General features: G+C 38.7%; 1 protein-coding gene across 2 annotated transcripts, besides 4 other annotated features; it reads right to left on the bottom strand.

Annotated features, from left to right (window-relative positions):
* Positions 1 to 956: 956 nt before the first annotated feature.
* Positions 957 to 24,104, bottom strand: TIPRL (TOR signaling pathway regulator). 2 transcript variants are annotated; one of them, NM_152902.5, is made up of 7 exons: positions 23,885 to 24,104; positions 18,985 to 19,164; positions 18,188 to 18,287; positions 11,566 to 11,697; positions 6,424 to 6,519; positions 4,085 to 4,147; positions 957 to 3,163 (listed from the first exon to the last, which is right to left on the bottom strand). In NM_152902.5, the coding sequence occupies exons 1-7, from the start codon at positions 23,986 to 23,988 to the stop codon at positions 3,020 to 3,022; spliced, it is 819 nt and encodes a 272-aa protein (NP_690866.1). In that variant the 5' UTR covers positions 23,989 to 24,104; the 3' UTR covers positions 957 to 3,019. The 2 variants fall into 2 exon arrangements, with proteins under 2 accessions (NP_690866.1, NP_001026970.1); NM_001031800.3 differs by lacking the exons at positions 957 to 3,163; positions 4,085 to 4,147; positions 6,424 to 6,519 and adding an exon at positions 10,671 to 10,858.
* Positions 5,387 to 5,887: an enhancer, noted in NCBI's record as "H3K27ac hESC enhancer chr1:168166417-168166917 (GRCh37/hg19 assembly coordinates)". NCBI's record gives its function as "activates a minimal SCP1, AML or CMV promoter by ChIP-STARR-seq in naive H9 embryonic stem cells {active_cell/tissue: H9 hESC(naive)}" and the evidence as "EXISTENCE:reporter gene assay evidence [ECO:0000049][PMID:30033119]".
* Positions 7,622 to 8,406: an enhancer, noted in NCBI's record as "H3K4me1 hESC enhancer chr1:168163898-168164682 (GRCh37/hg19 assembly coordinates)". NCBI's record gives its function as "activates a minimal SCP1, AML or CMV promoter by ChIP-STARR-seq in naive H9 embryonic stem cells {active_cell/tissue: H9 hESC(naive)}" and the evidence as "EXISTENCE:reporter gene assay evidence [ECO:0000049][PMID:30033119]".
* Positions 23,873 to 23,992: an enhancer, noted in NCBI's record as "active region_2057". NCBI's record gives its function as "activates an Ori minimal core promoter by ATAC-STARR-seq in GM12878 lymphoblastoid cells {active_cell/tissue: GM12878}" and the evidence as "EXISTENCE:reporter gene assay evidence [ECO:0000049][PMID:35858748]".
* Positions 23,980 to 24,481: an enhancer, noted in NCBI's record as "H3K27ac hESC enhancer chr1:168147823-168148324 (GRCh37/hg19 assembly coordinates)". NCBI's record gives its function as "activates a minimal SCP1, AML or CMV promoter by ChIP-STARR-seq in naive H9 embryonic stem cells {active_cell/tissue: H9 hESC(naive)}" and the evidence as "EXISTENCE:reporter gene assay evidence [ECO:0000049][PMID:30033119]".

Genomic DNA, 25,197 nt, shown 5'->3' with positions numbered 1-25,197 from the left:
GTTTGCTTAAACCACCTACTGAGACTTTCTGGTTCCACACCCTGCTTCCAGTCTTTCTTAAGTCCTGGTGTAGGCCCTTGGGAAAGAACTTGTGAGTGTGTATGAAGTTCCCTTATTTCAGATTCTTGGCTATTCCAAACTGGTATGCTAGCCCACATGTACACTTTAGGAATTTCTTAAAATTTTTGCCAATATTTTACCTGTTTATATAAAGGCCATCTCTTTCTCTTGGGTTCTTCCTAAGGTTAAACAGTCAGTATGTCCCATCTCTCCTTGTAGGGCTTATCACTCTTTGGGATTTGGTTTGTTTGCCTTGTAATTTCAGTTCTTTGATATGTTCAAGAAAAAAAGCTTTAATTTTATAGATGACCCAGCCTTTTCTCCTTGTTAAAATGGGAATGACAGTCTCTTGAGGTTTTCCACATCTTCTTGAGAAGCAGAGCTCTGACTACCTCTACTAAAGTTAGTTGATTTTCTGTTACTCTCTTGTCAGTATCATTTCCATCACTGCACATATTAAAATTAGTAATTTTTTTACTTTGTCTCCTCCATTAGACTTTAATCCTATAAAAACATATACTACATCGCTTCATTGTTGTAATCTATTATACCTAGCACCATAATTGTACATATAGTACTCAAAACTAATACATACGACAGGTATTCATATTTTCAAAAACCAAAAACATTAACCCAACATACAGAAAATACTGTTAAAAAACATCCATGGAAATATTGATGAACAGAGGGAGAGGAGAGGCAAGAGCCCAAATGCAAACTGGGAAATTGTATTCTGAACCATCAGTTAGGTTTTAATTTATAACCTGCCTGGAGACTGTCTACAGTGTTGACTGAGTTCAAAACATAAAGCACAAATAAGAAAAGTATACCCCAAACCACACTTCTTTAATTAAGCTCTAAGAAAAACTCAAATAAATGAAATAGTAAAACTTTGATCAGTAATTCCTTATTGTTTATTCTCCTCTTACAAAAAGACACTTGGGACAAATAAATACAAAATGGCATATATCATATTTAGCAATGGGCAAATACACATTTTCTTGGTATTCTCCACAAGAATAAACTAATAAAATTTTCAGAGGCATACTCTTCTACCCATCTCTTACCCTCTAAAAAAAAAAAAGGCAATTATTTTAATTCCCTGTAATTTTTAACAATGAATTCTCAAAATAAGTAATCTAGGACTATTCAGGGACCAAGACATCTGAATCAACAAGTTAAAAAAAAAATGTCTGTATACACACACACACACACACACACACACACACACACACGATGTTGCCCAGAAGCTCCAATTAATGAAGAGTCTTAAAAGTTTTTCATTTCATATAGTTTGCATGAATAGAGCCTGTTCTATTCTAATCTCAATGGCAAATAATATAAAACAGAAAGCTGAACACAACATGTGTGTGTGTGTGTGTGTGTGTGTCTACTTTTCTGTCCTAAGAGAAAACATTAAATACAGGTATATTTAATATACAGTGAACATACCATGTGTTTTCTTAAAGCCAACAAAATCCTGATTTCCTATAGCTTGGAGGTGATACAGAAGGCAGAAGACAAATATCAAATTTAGCTAATAAAATATACCCTGCCTATTGGCTCCAGCAATACACTATAGAGTTTGAGCAATGACGGATACCCAAGTGTATATGTTTTGTTAAAATTTATCTTCAGGCTAATACCTGAAGAGGTTGGCTAATACTTTAAATCAAATATTCTTACTTAATGATTTATCCATCAAATGGAAATATGTACAACATATTTCAAATCAGAAAAGGGGTGAATTTTCCCCCTGCCCTTCAAAAAAATATTTTTAAAAATCCACTTGAAATAATTTCTTATTTGATGCTTTTTAATCACTTTCCACTTTATGACAACCATTTTTCTAGAAAGGCAGACAAGAATATAAAATGACTAAGGGGTCACTATGAAAACAATCAAATGGATTTGAAATTTACTTCTGTGTATTTTCTGTACTCCCTAAGTCTTGTGCTAATTAATTACATTTTACTTCATCCCCTGTAATGTTACAAATATGCACCTTAAAATAGAAAAACTTGCTTTTATATTTTAAAACCCCCTCCTCCTTACCTATCTTCCCAAATATTTTAAGCAGAAAATTAATCTTGTTGCTTTAAGGATTGATGTAATATTTGCGAAAAACAACCCCTAATAAACCCTTTAGACTTTTTCGAACCAGCACCAAATTTAAGGGGTTTATTCACTCTGAGGTTGCATGGAAGATGGAAATTAAAAATATCAGTATAAGTAGAACCACATTTAAGAAAAAGCACCTAAAGATGGAGGACAGATAATTCTAACATCCTACACACACACAGTGGTAAACCATATTCATGTTTCTATGTATGTAATAAGTTCTCCAAAAATCTAGGTATTTTTGGTTCTGGTACTAAGTCTAAATTTTTTTTTTTTAAATTTCAAAGGCAATTTAAAACTGGGGGGAAATACATTTTTAAAATTTTGGGGTTGAAGTTCACTACACTATGAGACTAATTTCGTATGTGGCAAGTTGCAACTCTCCAAAGGTGTGAATAAACATCAGAAAGCCCAAAGTGAAGAGCCAGTACATCAACATGCATGATCAGGAATCCTATGAAAGTCACAAGGCATTGGGATTTGGTGATTTACATTAACCTCCTCCTGGTAGAAGATAGTGTTTCATGATGAATGCAGACTGTGCTCACTGCTCATGAGACACACACATCACTACTGCTGAGGTCCCACTTTGTGATAATTTAGAAATCATCCAAATTTAACTCCAGAAAATATAAATCTGGAATATGAATGTGAAGACAGACAGTACAAACAGCAGTTGAGTGAAACCTGCCTGTAACGATCTTTATTTTTTTTTCCTTTAAGGCTACAGAAAATCTGTACATAAACAAGGCAATTAATTCTCATAATAAAAATAACCCCTTACAAATAGCCAAGGTGTCCAGTCAGATTCCATAGTGAGTATATGTTGTATCACATTTTATTCCACTTGTGTACTTTTTTGTGAGTCTGCTGGGTTAGGATCAATTCTTTCTGGAAATATTAGCTTCTCACAAACTGCTTCCTTTATTGGTAAATACTGGGATATTTCATTAGGTTCCGTGAAGAGGGAAGGTGGAACATGCTAGGAAATACATAAATCATATTAGCATATTCAGTTACTGTACTGAAATTTTTTACAAATGTTTTGGTTCAAGCATTCATAAAGCATGGAAATTTTAAAATCAGGTGCAATATATGCATATGTGCTCCTAAAAATAATAGGTATTTCTTGATACGGAATCATTCAACTTTGTTACTGAATGATTTCATCAAAGATCACAGGGTTATATAATCTATAATGTTCCCACAAATGTCCTAAGAATTTAATACATCTTAATCCAACCCTATGTATCTCCTGCTTTTGTAACTTGAAAACACTAGTCTTCGGTTAGAGCACAGCATGTAGTCTACAATAGAATCTAAGTAGTAACTTTTCTGTTCCAAGTATACTCTATACCCAGACAGAAGTACATACTAAGCGTGAAAAAATAAAATCAAGTTTATAGGAAGGTACCAATTTTTAAGCAACCCATTATAGAATCCTAAGTTCTAAGGAAGGCTTCACAGGTCCCGGGGAGTAAAAAATAAAGAAAAATGATGCCAAAACAAACAAATTATGGTACAGAATCACCACATTTTCGGAAGAGAAAAGGAGACTATGTAGAAAGAAATAAGGCGGCAGGGTGGTAAGTGTAAAGAACATCCATCACCAGCCAGCTATGTGACTCAGAGTAAGTCACACCTCTGGGTTTCAATTTCTCTAGAACAAAATGTGAAAATTAGATTAGATGAGGCTTAAGTACCTAGCAGCTCTAAATGTTCTTGTATTTGAGGTAAGGTCAGAAAAGTTATGCTCCCATAGAATTTATCCTATAGAGCCCCATTAGGTGAATGAATGGGTTTAGGGATGTAAACTTGGGTGGTTGGGGTCAGGGGTATATGCTACTTAAATTAAAATGAAACATTAAAATTAACTTCTAAAAACTGAAATTTAAGTACTTGCCATCAAACTAGAAATTTTGCTTTCTCGTGACGTATATTCTCGTAACATGTAGGTCTTGTCAGCCTGTATTTAAAAATAAACAGTTGCAATAAATTTAATTATACTGATTTACAAAATCCTTTGTATTAAAAACAGACTGCCTACATTTTAGGATAGGTTGTCAAAACAGCATGCAGTCTAAAGAGAACATCTTGTTCTACACTGAGATAACTCCTATTTAACTCAAATTGGATTATTATTTCCAATTTCTATACATTATAATGATGATACACATATGTAAACAGATTTTATAATTACCATGTAAGAGAAACATAGCAAAGATTTTACTTTGAAAGAATATGTATATAAATGAATAATGTATATAATGAATTTGTATAAATGAAATATGCAAGAGATTTTAAAATTACTTCAAGTTTGAAACATCTTTCCCTTAAGCTATCTTATCATTTACCTACGTAATTGTGCTACTTTTATGTTGCAAAACATGCTTTAAAATTTTTATTCTTTCCCATTCCATAAAGCTCTTACCAAATAGCTTACTTAAAATCACCTTTTTTGTACTTCAATTTTTCCCATTTAAGATTTTTGGTTAGGTTTTAGAACAGCAACTTATTATAATTTACTTCTTGAAACACTTTTCAATAAAAGAAAAGCCACAAAATTATATGCCTTTAAGGTTTCACTCTCTTGTATTAATAAAAACAGATTAATAGTCACTGTAGGAAAAAAATCAAATAATATAAAAGTATAAATCATCAGTGATCACAGCTTATAGGTAACACTATCTTTAATACTTAGAAATCTCTACAGAGAATCTTATGTAAGTAGATTCATACTTGCTTTTGAAAGTTCAACACTGAAATGAATATCTTTCAAAATTACTTAAATATCAATCTCTGCAACCAATTTTAATAATTATATATTTTATACCATATGGATATAAACAATTTAATTAATGGCCATTTAATGGGCATTAAGTTCCTACTTTCCTTCCTTTCTGCTATTATAAACAATACTACTGTGAATATTCATGTACGTATAACTCTGAGTAATTGCCCAATTAATATTAGTAGATTATTATATAAAAGAATCTTTTTAGGATAAATTCCTAAAATTCAATATTGTTTAATTAAAACAGTATTTTTAACATTTAGGCCAGGAGCGGTGTGGCTCACGCCTATAATCCCAGCACTTTGGGAGGCCGAGGCAATTGGATCACTTGAGGTCAGGAGTTCAAGACCGGCCTGGCCAACATGGTGAAACCCCATCACTCCATTAAAAACAACAACAACAAAATTGCCAGGTGTGGTGGTGGGCGCCTGTAATCCCAGCTACTAGGGAGGCTGAGACATGAGAATTGCTTGAACTCAGGAAGCAGAGGTTGCAGTGAGCCAAGATCGCGCCACTGCATTCCAGCCTGGGCAACAGAGCAAGACTCCATCCATCTCAAATAAATAAATAAAAATAAAATTTAGATTTCTCTTTCTGGGGAACAAAAATATAGCTTATGTTTAGTACTTTGCCACCACTTTTAAAAGAAAAAAGGTCTATCACTATAACCATGTTATTTCAAGAAAAAATCCCTAAGTGAAGGGTTTAGAAAGCATCAATCCAATCCTATCCTACTAGGTTCAAATTCCAATTCTGCCACCTACTAACTGTATAACTTAGGTATGTTTCTTTTTTTTTTTTTTCTTTGAGACAGGGTCTTGCTCTGTCACTGCAGCCTCAACCTTCACCAGCTCAAGCAATCCTCCCACCTCAGCCTCCCAAGTAGCAGCTAGGACTACAAGTCCGTGCCACCATGCCTGGCTAATTTTTTGTATTTTTAGTAGAGACAGGGTTTCACCATGTTGGCCAGGCTGGTCTCGAACTCCTGATCTCAGGTGATCTACCCACCTCGGCCTCCCAAAGTGCCGGGATTACAGGCGTGAGCTACGGCGCCCGGCCTTGGCCTGATTAATATATTAATGTACTTCCTGTATATTAATGTACATCAGGACATTACATAAACAACATATACTGTAAACAAAGGTAAGAGTTAAAGGACAGTTTTCTTAAACATGGATTAAGTACATACAAAATTGTCTCAAAAGACCCCTCCCCAATTAGGGAGTGTCTTTTAGAAAACATTTTGAGTCACCAGAACCTTTGTAAAAGGAAATGTAATGTTTTGATGATAGCCTGCAGTCAACAGTGAATGTGAAACACTCAGACTTAACAGTTAGAAAGACTGCCATATAATATAGATTGTTTAATTTCAAATTCTCAGATTGACAATTAAACAACACAAACAAGCCCAGTATCAATTAGTATATTCATTAAACAACAATAAATACCTCATGGTAAAGTCTCGTGTCATTCATTCTGATAAGCACCCCATCAATTCTCAAGAAAAACCGCAACAGCAGGAAAAAGCTAGAAGGCATTACTCTCTGGAAAAAAAAAAAAAGGTACATTAATATTTTAATAAAAATTAAACATTTTATTACTTTGCTGAAAGAAAAAATTTGAAAACAAAAAACAAAAAAACCCTGGAATAAGGCTGAATTCACAGTTTATAAAAATCTCTCAACTAGAAGCTCTTTGTCCTAGCTCCAACTAGCCTCAAAACCTTGTGCAAACTATTTAACATCATAGTTTCGGTTTCCTAAAATATTTTTTCTAGGTGAGGAGATATTGAGGTTTAAAAGACTTAAAAACATACCCAAGTAATGTAAAAATTATAATGTTTATTTCAAAAAATGGCAGGTACTGATAGTAAATGTCAACACCAATAAAACCAAAATGAAAGAACAACCTAGTTCTTTGTCACTACTCACCTATTCACTTTACATAAAACAAAGCAACAGACCTTACACAGAATGCTCTAATTCAGTGCAACCTGTAGGCACTATTACATATTGCTAAAGACCTGGTTTATCAGAACACTATAACACATTCTTAACATCTTTCATCTGTGGCACATCTACAAATTCCTCTGCTTTCCAAGTATAACTACTAATGATAGGCAGAATCAGTGGAGAAAGTATGAAGGTGGGTCCTGGTGGCGGGGAGAGAGCGGTTGAATGGAATGTGAGGTATTTGGGTCTTTAAAATGAATATGTTTAGCTGGCATGGTGGCTCACACCTATAATCACAGCAGTTTGGAAGGTTGAGGTGGAAAGATCACTTGAGCCCAGGAGTTCAAGACCAGCCTGGGCAACAGAGTCAGACCCCATCTCTACAAAAAATACAAAAAATTAGCAAAGCACGGTGGCACAAGCCTGTAGTCCTAGCTACGTGGAAGGCTAAGCTGGGAGGATGGCTTGGGCCTGGGAGATAGGCTGCAGTGAGCCATGATTGTAACACTGCACTCCAGCCTGGGCAACAGAGCAAGACCCTGTCCCAAAATTAATTAATTAATTAAAATGAATATGCTTGGCCATTTGCTGAATAAATACCTATTGTCTACTAACACCAAGTTCTTACTATAGTAAGTCTTGGATTTATATAAATGAAAAAATAGAATCCCAATGCTCAAAAAGGTTATCAGCCAGGGAAAGGTCAAACAGATGTGGTAGCTGCTATAATGGGTATGCACAAGGCTCAATAAGCATTTGAGAAAGAAGTACCTAAGTCTGCTGAAGAACATCAGATAAGACAAGGCTTGAGCTGACCACAGAAAGAACAGCTAGAGATGGGAAGGAGAATTTCAGAAAGGGGACCTGCATGTACAAAAAGTACTGAGACATGAAATAATAACATATATTCAGGGAACTGCCTATAATCTTACATATAAGCACAGGGCTACATTAATGATGAAAGAAGAAATAACAGGATAACCCAGTAATGACAGTGACTTAACTGCCTGGAGAGTCACCAGCCACAGGCCAAATTCTTTTCTGCCTTGGGACCATTACACACCCTCTTCCCTTACCTGGAGTATTCTCCCGGCTAATGTTCACTTGTCCTTCAGATTTCAGTACACATGTCACTTCCACAGAGGGGCCTTTCTTACCATTCCATACCACAATAGATTTATCTTGGTATTCTCTCTCATAGCACTCCATTACGAATTAACGGATTTGTAACTATCTTCATTTATGTTTCCACTTGACTGTAGGCTCCATGGTGGTGGAAATATCTGCTTTGTTCATCACCACATCTCTATTGCTTAGAAAAGTACCTAGCACACAGCAGGTGCTCATTAACCATTTTCCGGATAAAACTGAAGCTAGAAGGTATTAATACCTTTGCTGGAGAAAAGGCTCTGAGCCAAAGTGTATTCTGATGGGGTTATCAGCAACAGACTTAAAAAAAAGACTTTTAGTAAAGGAAAGCTGTAGAAATAACCTGACTTATGACAACTTGATGTCACAACAAATTGAGAAGCACATCATTATTATTTGACATTACTACACAGTGATATGTGTAATTTATGGAAAAACTGACTTGCAACATTTCTTCAAATTTCAAAATTAGTTACCAACAGTCACACTGGACACAACACAGGCAGTAAACTGAAATATCATTTTAGCATGGCACAGTGGAGAGAGTAGGAATTAGGAGACCAGAACTCTAGTGCCAATACAATAGCATATTTTAGGGCAGTAGTTCTTTCCTAGGGGACGTTTGGGAATTTGTGAGAGTACTTTTTCTTGTCACATCAATAAGCAACCAATATCAACAGTTAGTGAATAAGGACCAGAACGACAGATCTGGGATGCACAGGACAATCCTATACAACAAAGTCCAGTCCTGCATTCCACAAAACTTGCAGTATCTTACCAGGCATTCACAGAGGTGAAAAAGCCTACTTATAATGATCTGACTTTAGAAACTATTTCCATTTTACATAGATAATAAAAAAAAAATCACTCAATTATCCAGGAAGTCAACTATTTTCCAAATCAAGGAAAGATTATACTTTTTCTTATTTAGAACTTCACTAAGAGTTGTTCATCATTTTGGAAAATTGTGTTAAGAGTCACTGATTGATACCTTACATCTCTGTCAGCCTACATTTTTTGCTGTCACATTTACGGTGACTCAATATGCAAATATAAGTACCTGACTGCTTCATTATGTCTTTGGTGCAGTCATATTATGCATTTAAGTATTAAAATATATTTTATTCTAAACCAATTTCCTTTAATTTTATAGTTAAAATATGTTGATTGCTGCAAAGTAGGTGGATTAAATCATCTACAAATTTCACTACAGGATAGTAATATCTATGAACTAATACTTCAGCTTAAAGTAGTTGGTTAAAAAAATGCTCTTCAGTTTAAGACTTACTATGTATTCTTGTACACACATATTTATACACATATCCTTTCAAGCAACTCCATCCACAAAACCACATGTGCTTTCCAAATACCGACCCACTTATAGACATGATATATATACCCCCTTGGATACAAATGCACACCCAGGTATGCAAACTCATAATGAACATTTAGCATAGTCAATTCAACAGGTGGTAGACAAGTGGAAAGATACAAGACTAGGTGAACTGAAGAGAGAATAAATCTAAACAAAAAAAAGTGAATTTAGAGTTATAAGTGAGCAAAGAAGTAAAGCCTATGAAAACAACTATCTAATGCTAGAATAATGATATATATTAGATGATACAAAGAAAACTTTGCAATTAGTTTCATGACCTTAAGCTATCTTTTTAGGCCTTATCTATAAAATATGGAGGCTACAAAAAATGATTCTCTAAAAATTCACTACAATTTCAAAATCCTTTGATTCCACCGAAAAAACTAATTTTATTTTTAGATAAGAAAAATAAAATTTTTTATTTATCTAAAAATAAAATTATTTTGTCTCCCAAGCTGGGGTGCAGTGGCACCATCATAGCTCACTGTAGCCTTGACCTCCTGGGCTCAAGCAATCCTCCTGCTTCTGCCTCCCAAGTAGCTAAAATTTGACTTTAAAACAAATCTGTTGCTGCTTTTGTATTATTTTCATTCTTTAAATCACAGCATCCACAATCATTATGCCCCAAGAACAATGTTTGATGTTAGGGTCTCTGTCTTTGACAGATCTCATGACAAATGCTATAATTGAGAGGTTTTTTGTTTGTTTTGTTTGTTTGTTTGTTTGTTTTGAGACGGAGTCTCGCTTGTTGCCCAGGCTGGAGTGCAGTGGCACGATCTCGGCTCACTGCAAGCTCTGCCTTCCGGGTTCACGCCATTCTCCTGCCTCAGCCTCCCGGGTAGCTGGGACTACAGGCGCCCGCCACTGCGCCCAGCTAATTTTTTGTATTTTTAGTAGAGACGGGGTTTCACCATGGTCTCGATCTCCTGACCTCGTGATCCGCCCGCCTCGGCCTCCCAAAGTGCTGGGATTACAGGCATGGGCCACCGCGCCCGGCCTAATTGAGAGGTTTTTAAAAAGGAGTATAGAAAAGAGATATTTAACTCTGTGTAACGGAGTTGTGAAGGGCCTTGTAGAAAAGGTGGTATTTTAGCTGGGTCTTTGGGTCTTAAAGAATGAGGCATTTAGTAAAAAGTTTCAGTTGAGTTATTTCTGGAAAGTATTAGAGACCCAATTATAATGCAGTGGTAAAGAAATATGAATAACCATACTTGTTATGTGTGTTTTCTACTTCTTTTATTTTATTTTATTTTTTTTTTTTGAGACGGAGTCTTGCTCTGTCGCCCAGGCTGGAGGGCTGGAGTGCAGTGGTGCGATCTCAGCTCACTGCAAGCTCCGCCTCCCGGGTTCACGCTTCTCCTGCCTCAGCCTCCCGAGTAGCTGGGACTACAGGTGCCCGCCACCAGGCTGAAAATTGAAGTGGTAGTTGAATGATGCACTGAAATCATAACACATGGATCATTTTAAAAAATGACATCCACCTTGCCGTCTGCAGATCCTATCAACATCATTTTTAATCCAAAATGTGAAAATTAAGCCACAGTCTTCATTAGAGTTAAATAATAAACAAATAAACTACAAGGTGGCCAGGCAGGTCTATTAAAAATGCTTTGCTAAAATAAAGCCTTAAGAATACACAAATATTTTGTGAATTTTATAATGGATATTCAATAAGATACACTCTAGATTCAAGTGAAATTGTACATGACATCATGTTAAAGCTCAGTGTTATTCTTTTTTTTTTTTTTTTTTTTTTGCTCTGTCGCCCAGGCTGGAGTGCAGTGGCGTGATCCTGGCTCACTGCAAGCTCCGCCTCTTGGGTTCACGCTACTCTCCTGCCTCAGCCTCCCGAGTAGCTGGGACTACAGGCGCCCGCCACCATGCCCAGCTAACTTTTTGTGTTTTTAGTAGAGACGGGGTTTCACTGTGTTAGCCAGGATGGTCTCGGTCTCCTGACCTGGCGATCCAGCCCGCCTCAGCCTCTCAAAGTGCTGGGATTACAGGCGTGAGCCACCGCGCCCGGCCAGGCTCAGTGTTATTCAAAGTGAGTCATATTTTTGTCTGATGTTAAGAATGCAAGAAAAATATTAATTTTAAATAAAAATAATACTCACAATCTTCACACTCAGGCTTGAAACTCCATGATCATGAAGTTCATCCTCAAAAAGGAGAACTTCTTCAAAAAACTTAATCTGTTCTCTGGCTTTCAATTTTTCTGTATCTATATGATCTGTTGTAGGTACAACCTGAAAGAAAAAATTTTAAAGAGGAGCACATTAAAAAAAAAGTTGAGGAGCTACAGAGACACAGGAAAGCAGTCTTTTCTTTTCTTTTTCAATCAGTCTTTTCTACATAGCCAGAGCACACAGTTCTAAATTTGGGTGTCATTAGTAGATATAAAAGATCAGAATATGGCTTGATTCTGAAAACTGAAGACATTACAGATGCCCAATATTATAGCTTCACAAAAAAAGCAGTAAAAATTTATCATTTTTCATGCAAGTCATATTAAAATCAACTTCTGTTGTGACTATGAGAAAATTAATCAACTAAACATCAGTCAGTGTGATGAACGACTGCTATCATAGAAGGTCATAGAACATTTGTGCTGTGAAAGCCACTTTTAGGACATTCATATGGAACTTAAAAAATATTTTTCCATTAGAATGTTAGATATTTGCTCAACCTAACTCCCCAAAACCTACAACAAAATAAAGTGCTTTAAATAATGAGGTAAACAAGAACTTGTAGAGAAATTCTGAGGGAAACTCTTAGCATTGCAAAGAGCTTTGAATGAAGTTGGCAATTTTTCAAGGTATTATTTTGTAGCTCTAAGACATGCACACACGTAATCCAACAAAAGCATCAACAGTCCCAAGGCAGATCATATCAGGAGCTCATTAAACTCAAGTGTCTCCTGAGCAGCACCCAAGTATGAATTGTGATACTATTTTCTACCACACCTAATTTCACTACAAAATGCTCAGCTGTTTTACTCCTTGACAGGTTTACCATAAACAAACACAACAATGCTTGTCAAACCATAGATATTTAGTAAATGTAGCTTTACTTAAGCGTCATGATTAGGTGATTTGTTTTGACTCATGGACAAAATTAGCAGATGGAGAGTAATTTGAGATAACTAGATAAGAATCAGAAGAAAATTACAAAGGATGTTGTTTACAAGACTGCACAGATTTTGGGAGGAAATCTAAGGGAACGTTAAGTAATGTAGGGGGAAAAGATGCCATGAAAAGAAAGTGGCAGTTTGTATATGATTTCCAGGAGGTAAAAAAATGTCCATAATTCTTCCATGGTCACTTAGAGATAACACTTAGCCCTAAGCAGTTTTACTTCCAACTGTGTACGGAGCAGGTATAAGGCCACTCTTGAGGTGAAAACTGGGAGGGGAAGGGAGTTGGAGTGTAGGGGCAGGGCATATAACCAGTCCCCTGCATCACACATTAAGTTTATGATCTAGTTAAACAAAAGTTGGTCTGCCAACGAGGACTGCCTAAGGTTACACAACTGAAATTAGTGTTAAATACACACACTTGTAAATTTCGTCCTTTTTATTTGATTTTAGTTCAGAGGAACACATTTTTAACATCCTCCTTATAGATACTCCTGAATCCCCCAAAATTAATCATTATCTGAATTTTCTCATTAGTAAATTGCTTCATTAATGTTTCACATATGCCTTCAGTAAGTGATTGGTCAAAATGAATCTGTCAGTTTTTCCATTTACGTACTTGTTCTTATAAAATGAAAGACAAAGTCAAAAAACAAAGCATGAGTTAGAGATATCATATTTAACTTATTTATGCTATTGTCTCCATTTGCAAGGCTAAATATGTCTAAAACTTTATACTTTTCAGCTCTCTTCCTCAACTCCACATATCTCTCTCTGAACCCAGGGATCTAAAAAATACAACAAAAAAAAAATAACCAGCTAAATATAAAACATATGGGCTGGGCGCGGTGGCTTATGCCTATAATCCCAGCACTTTGGGAGGCAAGGCGGCCGGATCACTTGAGGTCAGGAGTTTGAGACCAGCCTAGCCAATATGGTGAAACCCCATCTCTACTAAAAATACAAAAACTAGCTGATCGTGGTGGCAGGCACCTGTAATCCCAGCTACTCAGGAGGCTGAGGCAGGAGAATCGCTTGAACCCGCGGGGCAGAGGTTGCAGTGAGCTGAGATCACACCATTGCACTCCAGCCTGGGCGACAAGAATGAAACTCTATCTCAAAAAAATAAAAAACATATGGAACAGTATTGGCAGAATAAGTAATCTAGACAAACCTTCTTGATGAAGACAATTTAAAAAGCTGGCTAAAAAAACCCAAAAACTTCCTAAAAGCATCAAATGGCCAAGGCAGTATGGAGTTACTGGGCTGAGATCTGGAAAGACTGGAGCCGAGAAAAGTAAGTCTGTACTTGGCTGGCTTTTGCCCTGAGGCATAGCACTGGCTGATCCAGAGAAGAAGCTGGGCTCTGCTAGCTTTTGGTGCCATCACTGCTCAGTGCTCACTAAGGACAAGGACCCTGGAGAATTTCCTGCTTCCTCCCAAATCAGAGATGACACCCTAAAGAGCTATAGTGATTTCAGAACTTTTTTTTTTTTTTCTTGAGACAGAGTCTCGCTCTGTTGCCCAGGCTGGAATGCAGTGGCACCATTTCAGTTCACTGCAACCTCCAGCTCCTGGGTTCAACCAATTCTTGTGCCTCAGCCTCCCAAGTAGCGAGGATTACACACACATGCCACAACGCTTGGCTAATTTTTTTGTGTTTTTAGTAGATACAGGGTTTTGCCATGTTGGCCAGGCTGGTCTCGAACTCCTGACCTCAGGTGTTCCGCCTGCCTCGGCCTCCTAAAGTATTGGGATTCAGGTATGAGCCACTGTGCCCAGCCTCAGAGCTTCTTATCTGCAGGCCCAGTACACCTCAAACTCTGGTCCTAGACCAAGGCAGGCAAACTAAGACATGCAGCTCACATCTGCCCTGTTACCTATTTTTATGGGCTGCAAGCTAATAATGGCTAAATAATTGGAGAAAAAAAATCAAAAGAAAAATATTTCATGACACATAAAAATTACATGAAATTCAAATTTCACTGTCCATAAAGTTTTATTAAAGCATAGCCATGCCCATTCATTTATATATTGTCTATGAGTGATTTAGACTATGATAGCACAGCTGAGTTGCTGCAACAGAGACTCTAAGGCCCACAAAGCCTAAAATATTTACGTCTGACTCTTTACAGAAGAAGTTTGCAGAGCTCTGTCCTTGACTATGAATATTCTCGAGCGCCTGTCAGAACTAAACAAAAATCCTCTCTGAAGGAAAACACCATCATCCTAGAACTGAAATGAAAATAAAGAGGCAAATTAGAAGCCTAGATGTCATAACCCAGAACCAACTGAAATAAAAGACACTAGGGATTCCAGAGGTGATTGAAATTATTAGGCCTTAGTCCATTTGGGCTGCTATTTAATATAATAATATACCATAGATAATATATCTACTTTTATTCTAGGTATTACAATATTAACTTAGGTTCCCTAATACTTGATATACTATATTATCATAGTAACAGCTGCCATTTATTGAGATCTTACTGCAAAACACACACTGTTTTGAGATAGGGTGTCGCTCTGTCACCCAGGCTGGAGTACAGTGGCACAATCACAGCTCACTGCAGCCTCGCCTTCCTGGGCTCAACTGATTCTCCCACCTCAGCCTCCTGAGTAGCTGGGACTATAGACACGTGCCACCAGACCCGCCAATTTTTCTATTTTTTGTAGAGATGGGGTTTCACCATGTTGCCCAGACTGGTCTTGAACTCCTGAGCTCAAGTGATCCATCTCAGCCTCCCAAAGTGCTGGGACTACAGGCATGAGCCACTACACCCAGCCTACATACATAATTTTATTTCCTACTTCACAACTAGTATTACCCTAGTTTAACAAAGTGACTGAAACAAGGCTAAGTAAGACTAAATTACTTTTCCAAGCTGGCAAATGATGGTGCTGGGATTTTGAACCCAGATCTGTGTTTTGCCAAAGCCTGAGCTCATTACCACCAGTGAGTGGGTAATCACATTGACATTTATCAGCAACACCTCAGAACAAATCACATTATAGGCTGAAGTATCAATAGGAGAGTACTGAACAAATGCTTTTTGCCTTCTACTACTCTCACACTCCTTGTTTGTACAGCTGTGGTTCTCACTTGGTCACACCTAATGCTGCTTCATAACCTCCAGGAGGCTTTTCCTAAGTCAGTCCACAAAGTAAGTCATCATCATTATTGTATGGGTTTAAAACAAGTTCCCATTTCCTCACTCCTGGCAATGAAATATTAAATGGTCTCTACAAAGTTTTTCAATCAGAAGAGAGGAGGGAGGAGAACACTAATCTATGAAGTAGTATAAGGGACTAAAATAACCTTGCTCTCCCATTAGACTGTAAAGGAGGAATTTTTGTCTGCTCTGCTGTATCCAAGGCTCCTAGCATTAGTGCCTGGCATAGAGCAAGAGCTCAAGAAATATCTGTTGAATGAATGAATGAGTTTTTTCCTGGAAGCACAGAAAAATAGTTAAAGCTTGGACTGTAATAATAGCAGAAACTGAAGATAACAATCATTAAGTTCCTGCTATGAACTTTTATCTTCATGAGACTCTAAAAATTTCTGCAGAGAAAAGGGGCCCAGACACAACACTATCTTCTTAACATTTCTGCCTAAGCACCAACATATGATATCAGGTTTCCTTGTTTTGAGATGGAGTCTCACTCTGAAGCCCAGGTTGGAGCACTGTGGCGTGATCTTGGCTCACTGCAACTCTGCCTCCTGGGTTCAAGCAATTCTCCTGCCTCAGCCTCCCCAGTCTCCAGCTCCTAACCTCAGGTGATCTGCCTGCCTCGGCCTCCCAAAGTGCTGGGATTACAGGTGTGAACCACTGTGCCCGGATGACATAGGGTTTCCAATAGCTACTTTTAATATAAATATTTCAGGTTACGCTGAAATAAATTCATTCTATATAATAGTCTGTGATATTTAGAGACATTCAACCTAAACCAAATTTGCTTTATTTTATTTTACTTATTGTTTTTCTGAAACAGAGCCTTTCTCTGTTGCCCAGGCTAGAGTGCAGTGGCGTGATCTCGGATCACTGCAACCTCTACCTCCTGGGTTCAAGTGATTCTCCTGCCTCAACCTCCCAAGTAGCTGGGATTACAGACACACGCCACCAGGCCTGGCTAATTTTTACATTTTTAGTAGAGGTGCGGTCTCACTATGTTGGCCAAGCTGGTCTCGAACTCCTGACCTCAAGTAATCTGCCCTCCTTGGCCTCGCAAAGTGCTGGGATTACAGGCGTGAGCCATTGAGCCCAGCCCAGATTTGCTTCCTTTCAGTCATACTATAAGATTTCAAAATGCAGCTAACTTCACAATATAAGACCTACCAATTCCATCTTCCTAGCGTTATTTACCATGAATCTCTCTCTTTTTTTTTTTTTTTTTTTTTTTTTTTTTGAGACGGAGTCTCGCTCTGTCGCCCAGGCTGGAGTGCAGTAGTGTGATCTCAGCTCACTGCAACCTCTGCCTCCCGGGTTCAAGCAATTCTCCTGCCTCAGCCTCCCGAGTAGCTGGGACTACAGGCATGCTCCACCATGCCTGGCTAAATTTTGTATTTTTAGTAGAGATGGGGTTTCACCATGTTGACCAGGCTGGTGTTGAACTCCTGACTTCATGATCCACCCACTTTGGCCTCCCAAAGTGCTGGGATTACAGGCGTGAGCCACTGCACCTGGCCGAATCTCTTCTTTTTTTTTTTTTTTGAGACAGAGTCTCACTCTGTCACCCAGGCTGGAGTGCAGTGGCGCGATCTTGGCCCACTGCAACCTCCACCTCCCGGGTTCAAGCAATTCTCCTCCCTCAGCCTCCTGAGTAGCTGGTATTACAGGTGTGCGCCACCACACCCAGCTAATTTTTTTTTTTTAATAGACAAGGGGTTTCACCATGTTGGTCAGGCTAGTCTCGAGCTCCTGACCTCGTGATCTGCCTGCCTCGGCCTCTCAAAGTGCTGGGATTACAGGCGTGAGCCACTGCGCCTGGCCCCAATCTCTTCTCAAGCAGGGCTTACACACACAGGACTTAATACTAATATAGAGCTTTAGAATTTATTGAGAGCTTCCCATAAATTATTTCACATCAAAACTCTGCTTTGAGGTAGATATTTCTGTTTACCCAATTTATTGATAAAACTGAGACTCAAATTAAGTAACTTCCTAAAGTCATTTCAGGTTCATACTCAGGGCAGACAGGGCATAAACCTACTTTGTCTAACCAGAAGTTCTTTTTGCTCATATATTTGTTCATCTATAAACTTGTGAGCTACAAGCTAGCAGGTTCTGTCTAAATCATGTAATACATTACCAAGGCCCGAAACACATTTTAATGTTTCTTGATAGTGATAATGATAACAACAAGGCCGTCTGCCGTTGCCACCAACTACACTTTTAAAAATAAATTTTTCCACTAATGCCGTCTTTTATTTTCTACTGATAAGTCAACAAGCAAAACCCCCTCACATTAGGTTCTGAGGAATGCCACAACAGAAAACAAGGACGATAAAAATAGTTGCAAAAAATAACCCGTTACTAGAAAGTTCTAATGCTCAGACTGTCCAAGACAATCAATGACTCATGAAAGAAAAAAGTAAGATTTACCTTTAACTTAAGAGATTCTCCAAGTAAGGTTCCCTTATAATCTGTTGTATAGGTCCAATCATATGGTTTAATAACCTCTTTGGAGTGTTCACCCTCCGTCCTCAAATACCAAAATGAGAAGGATCAGATTCAGTGATGCAGAATAGAGATTATCTGTATTTATATATCACATCAAATTATATTCTATAATAACATATCCTATTAAATATATACACTTGTTATAATTCACCAGTACAAGGTTTTTCTTACAGTTTTTCTGCATTTATTATTTAACTTGTCATGTACTGATGTAGTCTTTTCAATTAGTCTGTATACAGCCTGAGGACATGGTTTAAAGGTTTATACTTATTTGTATCATCTAAGGTACTTAGTACATATTAGGCACAAAGTAAATAATTGCTGATTTGACTATCAAAGAAAAACATGTTGTCTTAATTTCAATGCTTCTCAAATAGGGTATTTATTAAGCATATCATAAGTAAACATTTTTTCTTAAAAACAGGAACATTAAGTATAGCCTACTGCCTCTTCAGTAAGGAACACTGAAAAATCGAAAACGTACATAGCTCAGCTCAGTTGTAATTCACTTTAACAAGTATTCAAGCAGTGGGGTAATTAACTTCCATTTTTATGTCTGAGAAAAACGAATTCTAGAATGATACAACTCTCAAGTTTAATAATACCAGCCCTTCATTCTAACAACACACACGTATCATTACTGAATATTTTTTCAAGTCTTTTCTCTTTTGTTTAACCTAATTACCTTTTTTGTTTAACCTAATTGACCGGATTCTCACCTGCTTTCTTGCCACTCTTCAGCACAGGCCACTTTAAGCATTCCTTGGTAGTTGTTTACACATCTTAACGCATCTGTAGCATTGAACTCAATTCCAAAGCCAGACCCATGCTGGATTCTTAAAACGTTGTCTCCAAACATCATTTCAGGGAGAGATGGCATATGTAATTCATCGGCTAATCTATACGTAACCAAAAGTCGGGTGAGATAATTTTATATCGCTGTTGGCATTTTTGTTTCTTTTCCATCCCAACAGAATTCTTCCTACTTGCTGAATGAGTTACACAGCACATGATTTAATCAATATGATATATTTGCAAGGTCTATAAAATGCTTTCATCATCCATTCTTTCATCATCATATGGCACTGTACTAAGTAGTGGGCTAAATAAGATAAATATACAAATACGTAATATAATAGCTTATTATACTACTATAATATATAGCACACAGATATTACTATAATATATATCATGAGGGTATGAAGAAAAGATAGCAAAGCAATTAAAGATACTGTCTCTTGTAGGAAAATAATTTTTCCATTAAAATTCTCAATTGTTAAAAGTTTCAAAACGTGGTGATGAAAAAAGCAAAAGCACCTGACACTGATGAGGGAACTCAGCACTTGCCTACACAGACTTTCAGAAGGATTGTGTCAATTTACATTTCACCCTGGGGCAACAATCAAGCAAAAAAAAAAAAAAATCACAGGAATTTAACATAATTTACACACTTATGACCCAAAGTATCAGTTTTAGAATACCTGTACTAAAGAATAATTCCAAGTACAGAAAAATATTATACACATTAATACTTATAATGGCTTTACTTATAATCATGAAAAAGAAATACTCTGAATGTTTCATTATAAAGCAACAAATGATTATGCAAACCAAAGTATATCCATATGATGAAATATTATGGAACCATTACAAATGTTTAAAGAGAGACTATAATAATATGAAAAAATGCTTATGATAAAATAGTAAGAAAAAAACTGGACACACATTGTATATTTATTACATCTAAACGTGTATTTCTGTGTGCACATATCAGTGATCTAACTTTGAGGTGCAGGTCTTCAGGACTGCACAATGTTAACAATGGTCTTCAGGACTAACAATGTTAACTTTCATCATAATTTTAAGTAAAATTTATTCTTTGTTATTAGGAGATAGAAAATATTAAATACTTAAAAGATTAGATACAATAAACTGTAATTGGAATATATATTCCATAAGATTCCATAAAATAAGTTTTAACTTGAATAATGCATACCAAATGTGAAATAATATGTGAGTCTGTGGATTCTAACCAATATATCTGGAAAAATGTGGCAGTCCTATAAAATATTCCACTCATATATGTAAAAGAATCACTGTTACTAATTTACAGTCCTTCAGTGTTCTAAATATAGAGTTTCTTAAACATAGGCCAAAATGCCCTCTTTTTTTTTTGAGACGGAGTCTCGCTCTGTTGCCCAGGTTGGAGTGCAATGGCACGATCTTGGCTCACTGCAACTTCCGCCTCCCAGATTCAAGCAATCCTCCTGTTTCAGCCTTCCTAGGAGCTGGGATTACAGGCACGTGCCACCATGCCCGGCTAATTTTTGTATTTTTAGTAGAAACAGGGTTTCACCATGTTGGCCAGGCTGGTCTCGAACTCCTGACCTCAGGTGATCCACCTGCCTCGGTCTCCCAAAATGCTGGGATTACAGGCGTGAGTCACCGCGCCCGGCCTGAAAATGCCCTATTTCTAACATCATCAAGCTTCCCACTTAAAAACAGGTATAACTAGTTACAAGGAGAGAAGACAGGAAGCTCCTGTGGTTTTAAGGTGCCTTAAATATTCATTAGAAGAGCTTCTTTAATCCAATATTTTACCCAACCAATTTATTTAGCACCTTAGTGGTTTTTACAATCTATGATAATGCATCACAGAAAAATTTGGGATTGGTGAGGGTAAGTCTTCCTTTTGTCATATAAAAAAAGGCATTTTTTTTTTTTTGGCGGAGGGTGGGGGACGGAGTCTTACTCTGTCATCCAGGCTGGAGCACAGTGGCACGATCTCAGCGTACTGCAACCTCTACCTCCCAAGTTCAAGTGATTCTCGTGCCTCAGCCTTCAGAGTAGCTGGGATTACAGGCCTGCACCACCACCCCCAGATAATTTTTTTTGTATTTCTAGTAGAGGCGGGGTTACACCATGTTGTCCAGGCAGGTCTTGAACTCCTGACCTCAGGTGATCCGCCTGCCTCAGCCTCCCAAAGTGCTGGGATTACAGGAGTGAGTCACCGCACCCGGCCTCAGGCAAATTTGTTTTTAAAATAATACATAAGGAGATCGTAGATATGGAATTTTATTCCCTTAAAACTCTCCATGTATACAGCCATCGCTTAGAGAATCTGTAAGTAAATTACATGGGGGCCCCAGTTTGAAGCTGACTGCTTTATATATAATATAATTATATATTGTATTATGTTGGTGCAAAAGTAATTGCGGTTTTGCAATTAAAAACCGCAATTACTTTTGCACCAATCGGCAATTTGTCACAGAAAGTTATATGGAGAGGAGGCCGGGTGCGGTGGCTTATGCCTGTAATCCCAGCACTTTGGGAGGCCGAGGGCAGGTGGATCATCTGAGGTCAGGAGCTCAAGACCAGCCTGACCAACATGGTGAAACCCCATCTCTACTAAAAATACAAAATTAGCTGGGCGTGGTGATGCATGCCTGTAATCCCAGCTACTTGGGAGGCTGGGCAGGAGAATCGCTTGAACCCAGGAGGTGGAGGTTACAGTGAGCCGAGATGGCGCCATTGCACTCCAGCCTGGGCAACAAGTGAAACTCCATCTCAAAATAAAAATAGAAAGAAAGAATAAGAAAAAAAGAAAAGAAAAGAAAATTAAAAATAAATAAATAAATAAAAATACAAAAATTAGCCAGGCGTGGTGGCACGCGCCTGTAGTCTCAGCTACCAGGGAGTCTAAGGCAGGAGAATCACTTGAACCTGGAAGGCGGAGGCTGCAGTGAGCTGAGACTGTGCCACTGCACTCCAGCCTGGGCGACAGAGTGAGTCTCTGTCTCAAAAAAACAAAATAAAAAATAAATAAAAGTTATACAAGGCTGGGCGCAGTGGCTCATGCCTGTAATCCCGGCACTTTGGGGGGCCAAGGCGGACAGATCACCTGAGGTCAGGAGTTCGAGACCAGCCTGAGCAAAATGCAGAAACTCCGTCTCTACTAAAAATACAAAAAAAAAAAAAAAGTTATAAAAAAAAAAGAAAAGAAAGATATAGAGAGGAAAAACTCAAAAAAGTAATTCAATTTCTGGTGGGATGAAGGGAAATTTTTTTCCTTTCTTTTCTGTATTTTCCTAATTTTTTTCAGTGAGTCTACTAGAATATTACCACTTATTTTCTTGAATTAGGAAGCAAACATCGTTTCATTACTTTCCTCTCTTCCCTGGTCACTCCCTCTGCTCAAATCTTAAAATGCAAGTACTCACTTAGGGTTCTATTTTATGACCTTTTCCTCTGGATGACTTCTAGATACCTTAATTCATTCCCAAAGCTCCAGGTACCAAATATAAGCAGATAATTCCCAAACTTAAACCCACAGACGTTATCTTTTTTGAGCTCCAAGATAAATATATCTAAATGCCTACTACACATCTTCACTTTATGACCTATACCCACCTCACATTTCAATAAACTAAACTCATCCTCTAACCAACACCCTGCCCCCATCTGCTTCTCCTCCTCCTGTGCTTCTCATCTTGTTCAAAGGCATACGATACATGCAAAAATCCAAGCCAGAGATCTTGTCATCAGCATAGACTCTTCCTTTTTTATTTCTCCTCCCATCAGCTGGCCATCCCAGGGACTTAATCTTCTAAAACCTATCTTTTCTCTTACTAACTGGTCTCCTTCCCATCCCTGCGGACCTGCAATCCAGCCTCAACATGGCCTCCAGAGAAATCTTTCAGAGCGTACATCTGATAATGCAGCTCCTTTGGATAAAATTACACCCAGTGGTTGTCAGATAAAATTGAAAACTCCTTAGCCAGGCATAAAAATTCCCTCAGTATCTTGATTCCCCTGGGGCCTACCTCTCATCTCTCACAACACCCCCTATGGTACCTCACGCTCCAATCACACGGACACAGCTCTTTAAACACATCACAGCTTTCACTCTCCCTGAGCCCCCAGCTTTACATGCGTCCCCTGATTCCCCTAAATTTTGTCAAGATTCAGCCCAGGCATCAAAAACGCATCACAACTCACTCTGCCTGACCTGATGGCATGTACCTATCCACCGCCCCCCGCAACGGTTTTATAAAGATTCAGTTCAGGCATCCCAATTTCCCAGATGGTTCGAGCCCCTAAAAGACCTCACATCACTCCGTGTATACATCTTCATTACATTTATTCACGCTGTAATATAATTGTCTGTCTCTCTCACGAGACTGTGAATTGAGGCGCACGTTGTCTTTTACATTTCCTATCTCAAGCGCCGGGCACAGCACCTGACGTGACAGAAACCAAACTTATAAATCATCCCCGTCATTAACCCCTAAGAAAACAGGCAACAGCCACCCAGAAAGAAAGGTGGTGCAGGCTGAGGCAGGAGGAGACGTTTGGTGAGGGGAAAGTCCACCAGAACAGTCACACTCTACTCAAACCCAGGCGGATTGACAGTTGACGAAAGCAGCGCCTGGCGATCCCCAACCAAAGGGCCCGGAAGTGTGACTGGATTATTTATCGAAGTTGTCAATCAAAGGTCCGGTCCGGAGGGACCGAACCTCCGCCTCAGGGAAAAGGGGAGGGGCTGCACAGAGTTCGCCCTGCCTCCCGCCCTGGGCCAGCAACCGGCCAGCGCCCAGACCCCGTGCCCCGAAGCCTCACTTCTCCACATCCGCCGACTTCATGATGTGGGTCTTGGACGCCGTCAGCTTCCAGGGCCCGAAGCAGAAATCCCGGTGGCTGCTCTGGAAGCCGTGGATCATCATGGCTGAGGCAGGACCCGCAGAGGCCACAAGGAATAAGCTGAAGCAGCGGCGGCGGCGAACACCGGTTCCTCCGCCTCCCTCCGGCCCAGCCTCCTAGGCTTCCGAGCCGTTACCATGCCCGGCCCCGCCCCCTGCCGGCCGACCCGGACGCGGGCTCTGCTTCCCGTCTTCTTCTCCGCCTCTTTGCTTTTTGCTTCCGGGACTAGTTGCTCTTGTTGCGTGACCCACGTCTTACGTTCCGGCGTTCCGGAAAAAAGGAAAAAGGAGAAAGTCAGAGGGGCGGCACTTGGGTTGCAGAAGGTGTGGTTAGGAACGCACCGCCCTCTTGAACTCGTTGGGTGACGTCATCTCGAAGGATTTTAGGGACTGCCAGGGAAGGGGATGACGGTTCCAACTTGATCCTTACAGACCTCAAAGCAGTGTGATTACCTCATGTGTTAGTGAATCGTGTTACAGAGGAAATTTTTCTGTTTTGAGGTCAAAAAAAGAAGTAATCCCACAGAGTTTAGGAAATCCAGCACCAACAAGATTTAGAAGTGGCCATCTAGCCACTCTTGACTATGACCAACTCCTATCAAAAATTGCATCCTCGTAGATATGCGAAGACTTTCCATGGTCTAGTTGCTATGTAGGCACCCAGTATAGTGAAAACAACACAGCTGACTTAGTGCTAAATCTCCATTTGCAACACTATTGTGTGAATCCTTGGGCAAAGCGCTTCTCTAACGATTTTAGGCTTCAGTTGCCTCAAAATGAGATGATTTTGTTAATGGAAAAAAAACAAATTCTGTAAAAGGTTTTAAAGAGATTTATTCTGAACCAATATGAGTGACCATGGCCCAGGGAATAGTCCCAAGAGGTCCTAACAAAGAGCATCTGAAGCGGTGGCATTACTCTTTGTTTTATACATTTTAGGGAGTTGGGAATTGCAGGTAAAATAAGTCAATATATGGAAGATATACATTGGTTCAGGCTAAGGAAGTGGGATGTCTTGAAGGAGAGGCTTACAGATCATAGGTGGATTCAAAGATTTTCTGATCGGCAATCTGTTGAAAGATTTAAGCTTTAGTCAGGCGAGGTGGCTCCTGCCTATAATCCCAGCATCTTGGGAGGCCTAGGTGAGAGGATTGCTTGAGTCCAGGAATTTGAGACCAGCGTGGGCACCAGAGTAAGCCCTCATCTCTACAAACCGTGTTAATTAGCTGTGTA

This window comes from Homo sapiens, chromosome 1 (assembly GCF_000001405.40).
Source record: "Homo sapiens chromosome 1, GRCh38.p14 Primary Assembly".
Taxonomy (NCBI): Eukaryota; Metazoa; Chordata; class Mammalia; order Primates; family Hominidae; genus Homo; species Homo sapiens.
This window is presented reverse-complemented; position numbering and strand designations above follow the sequence as displayed.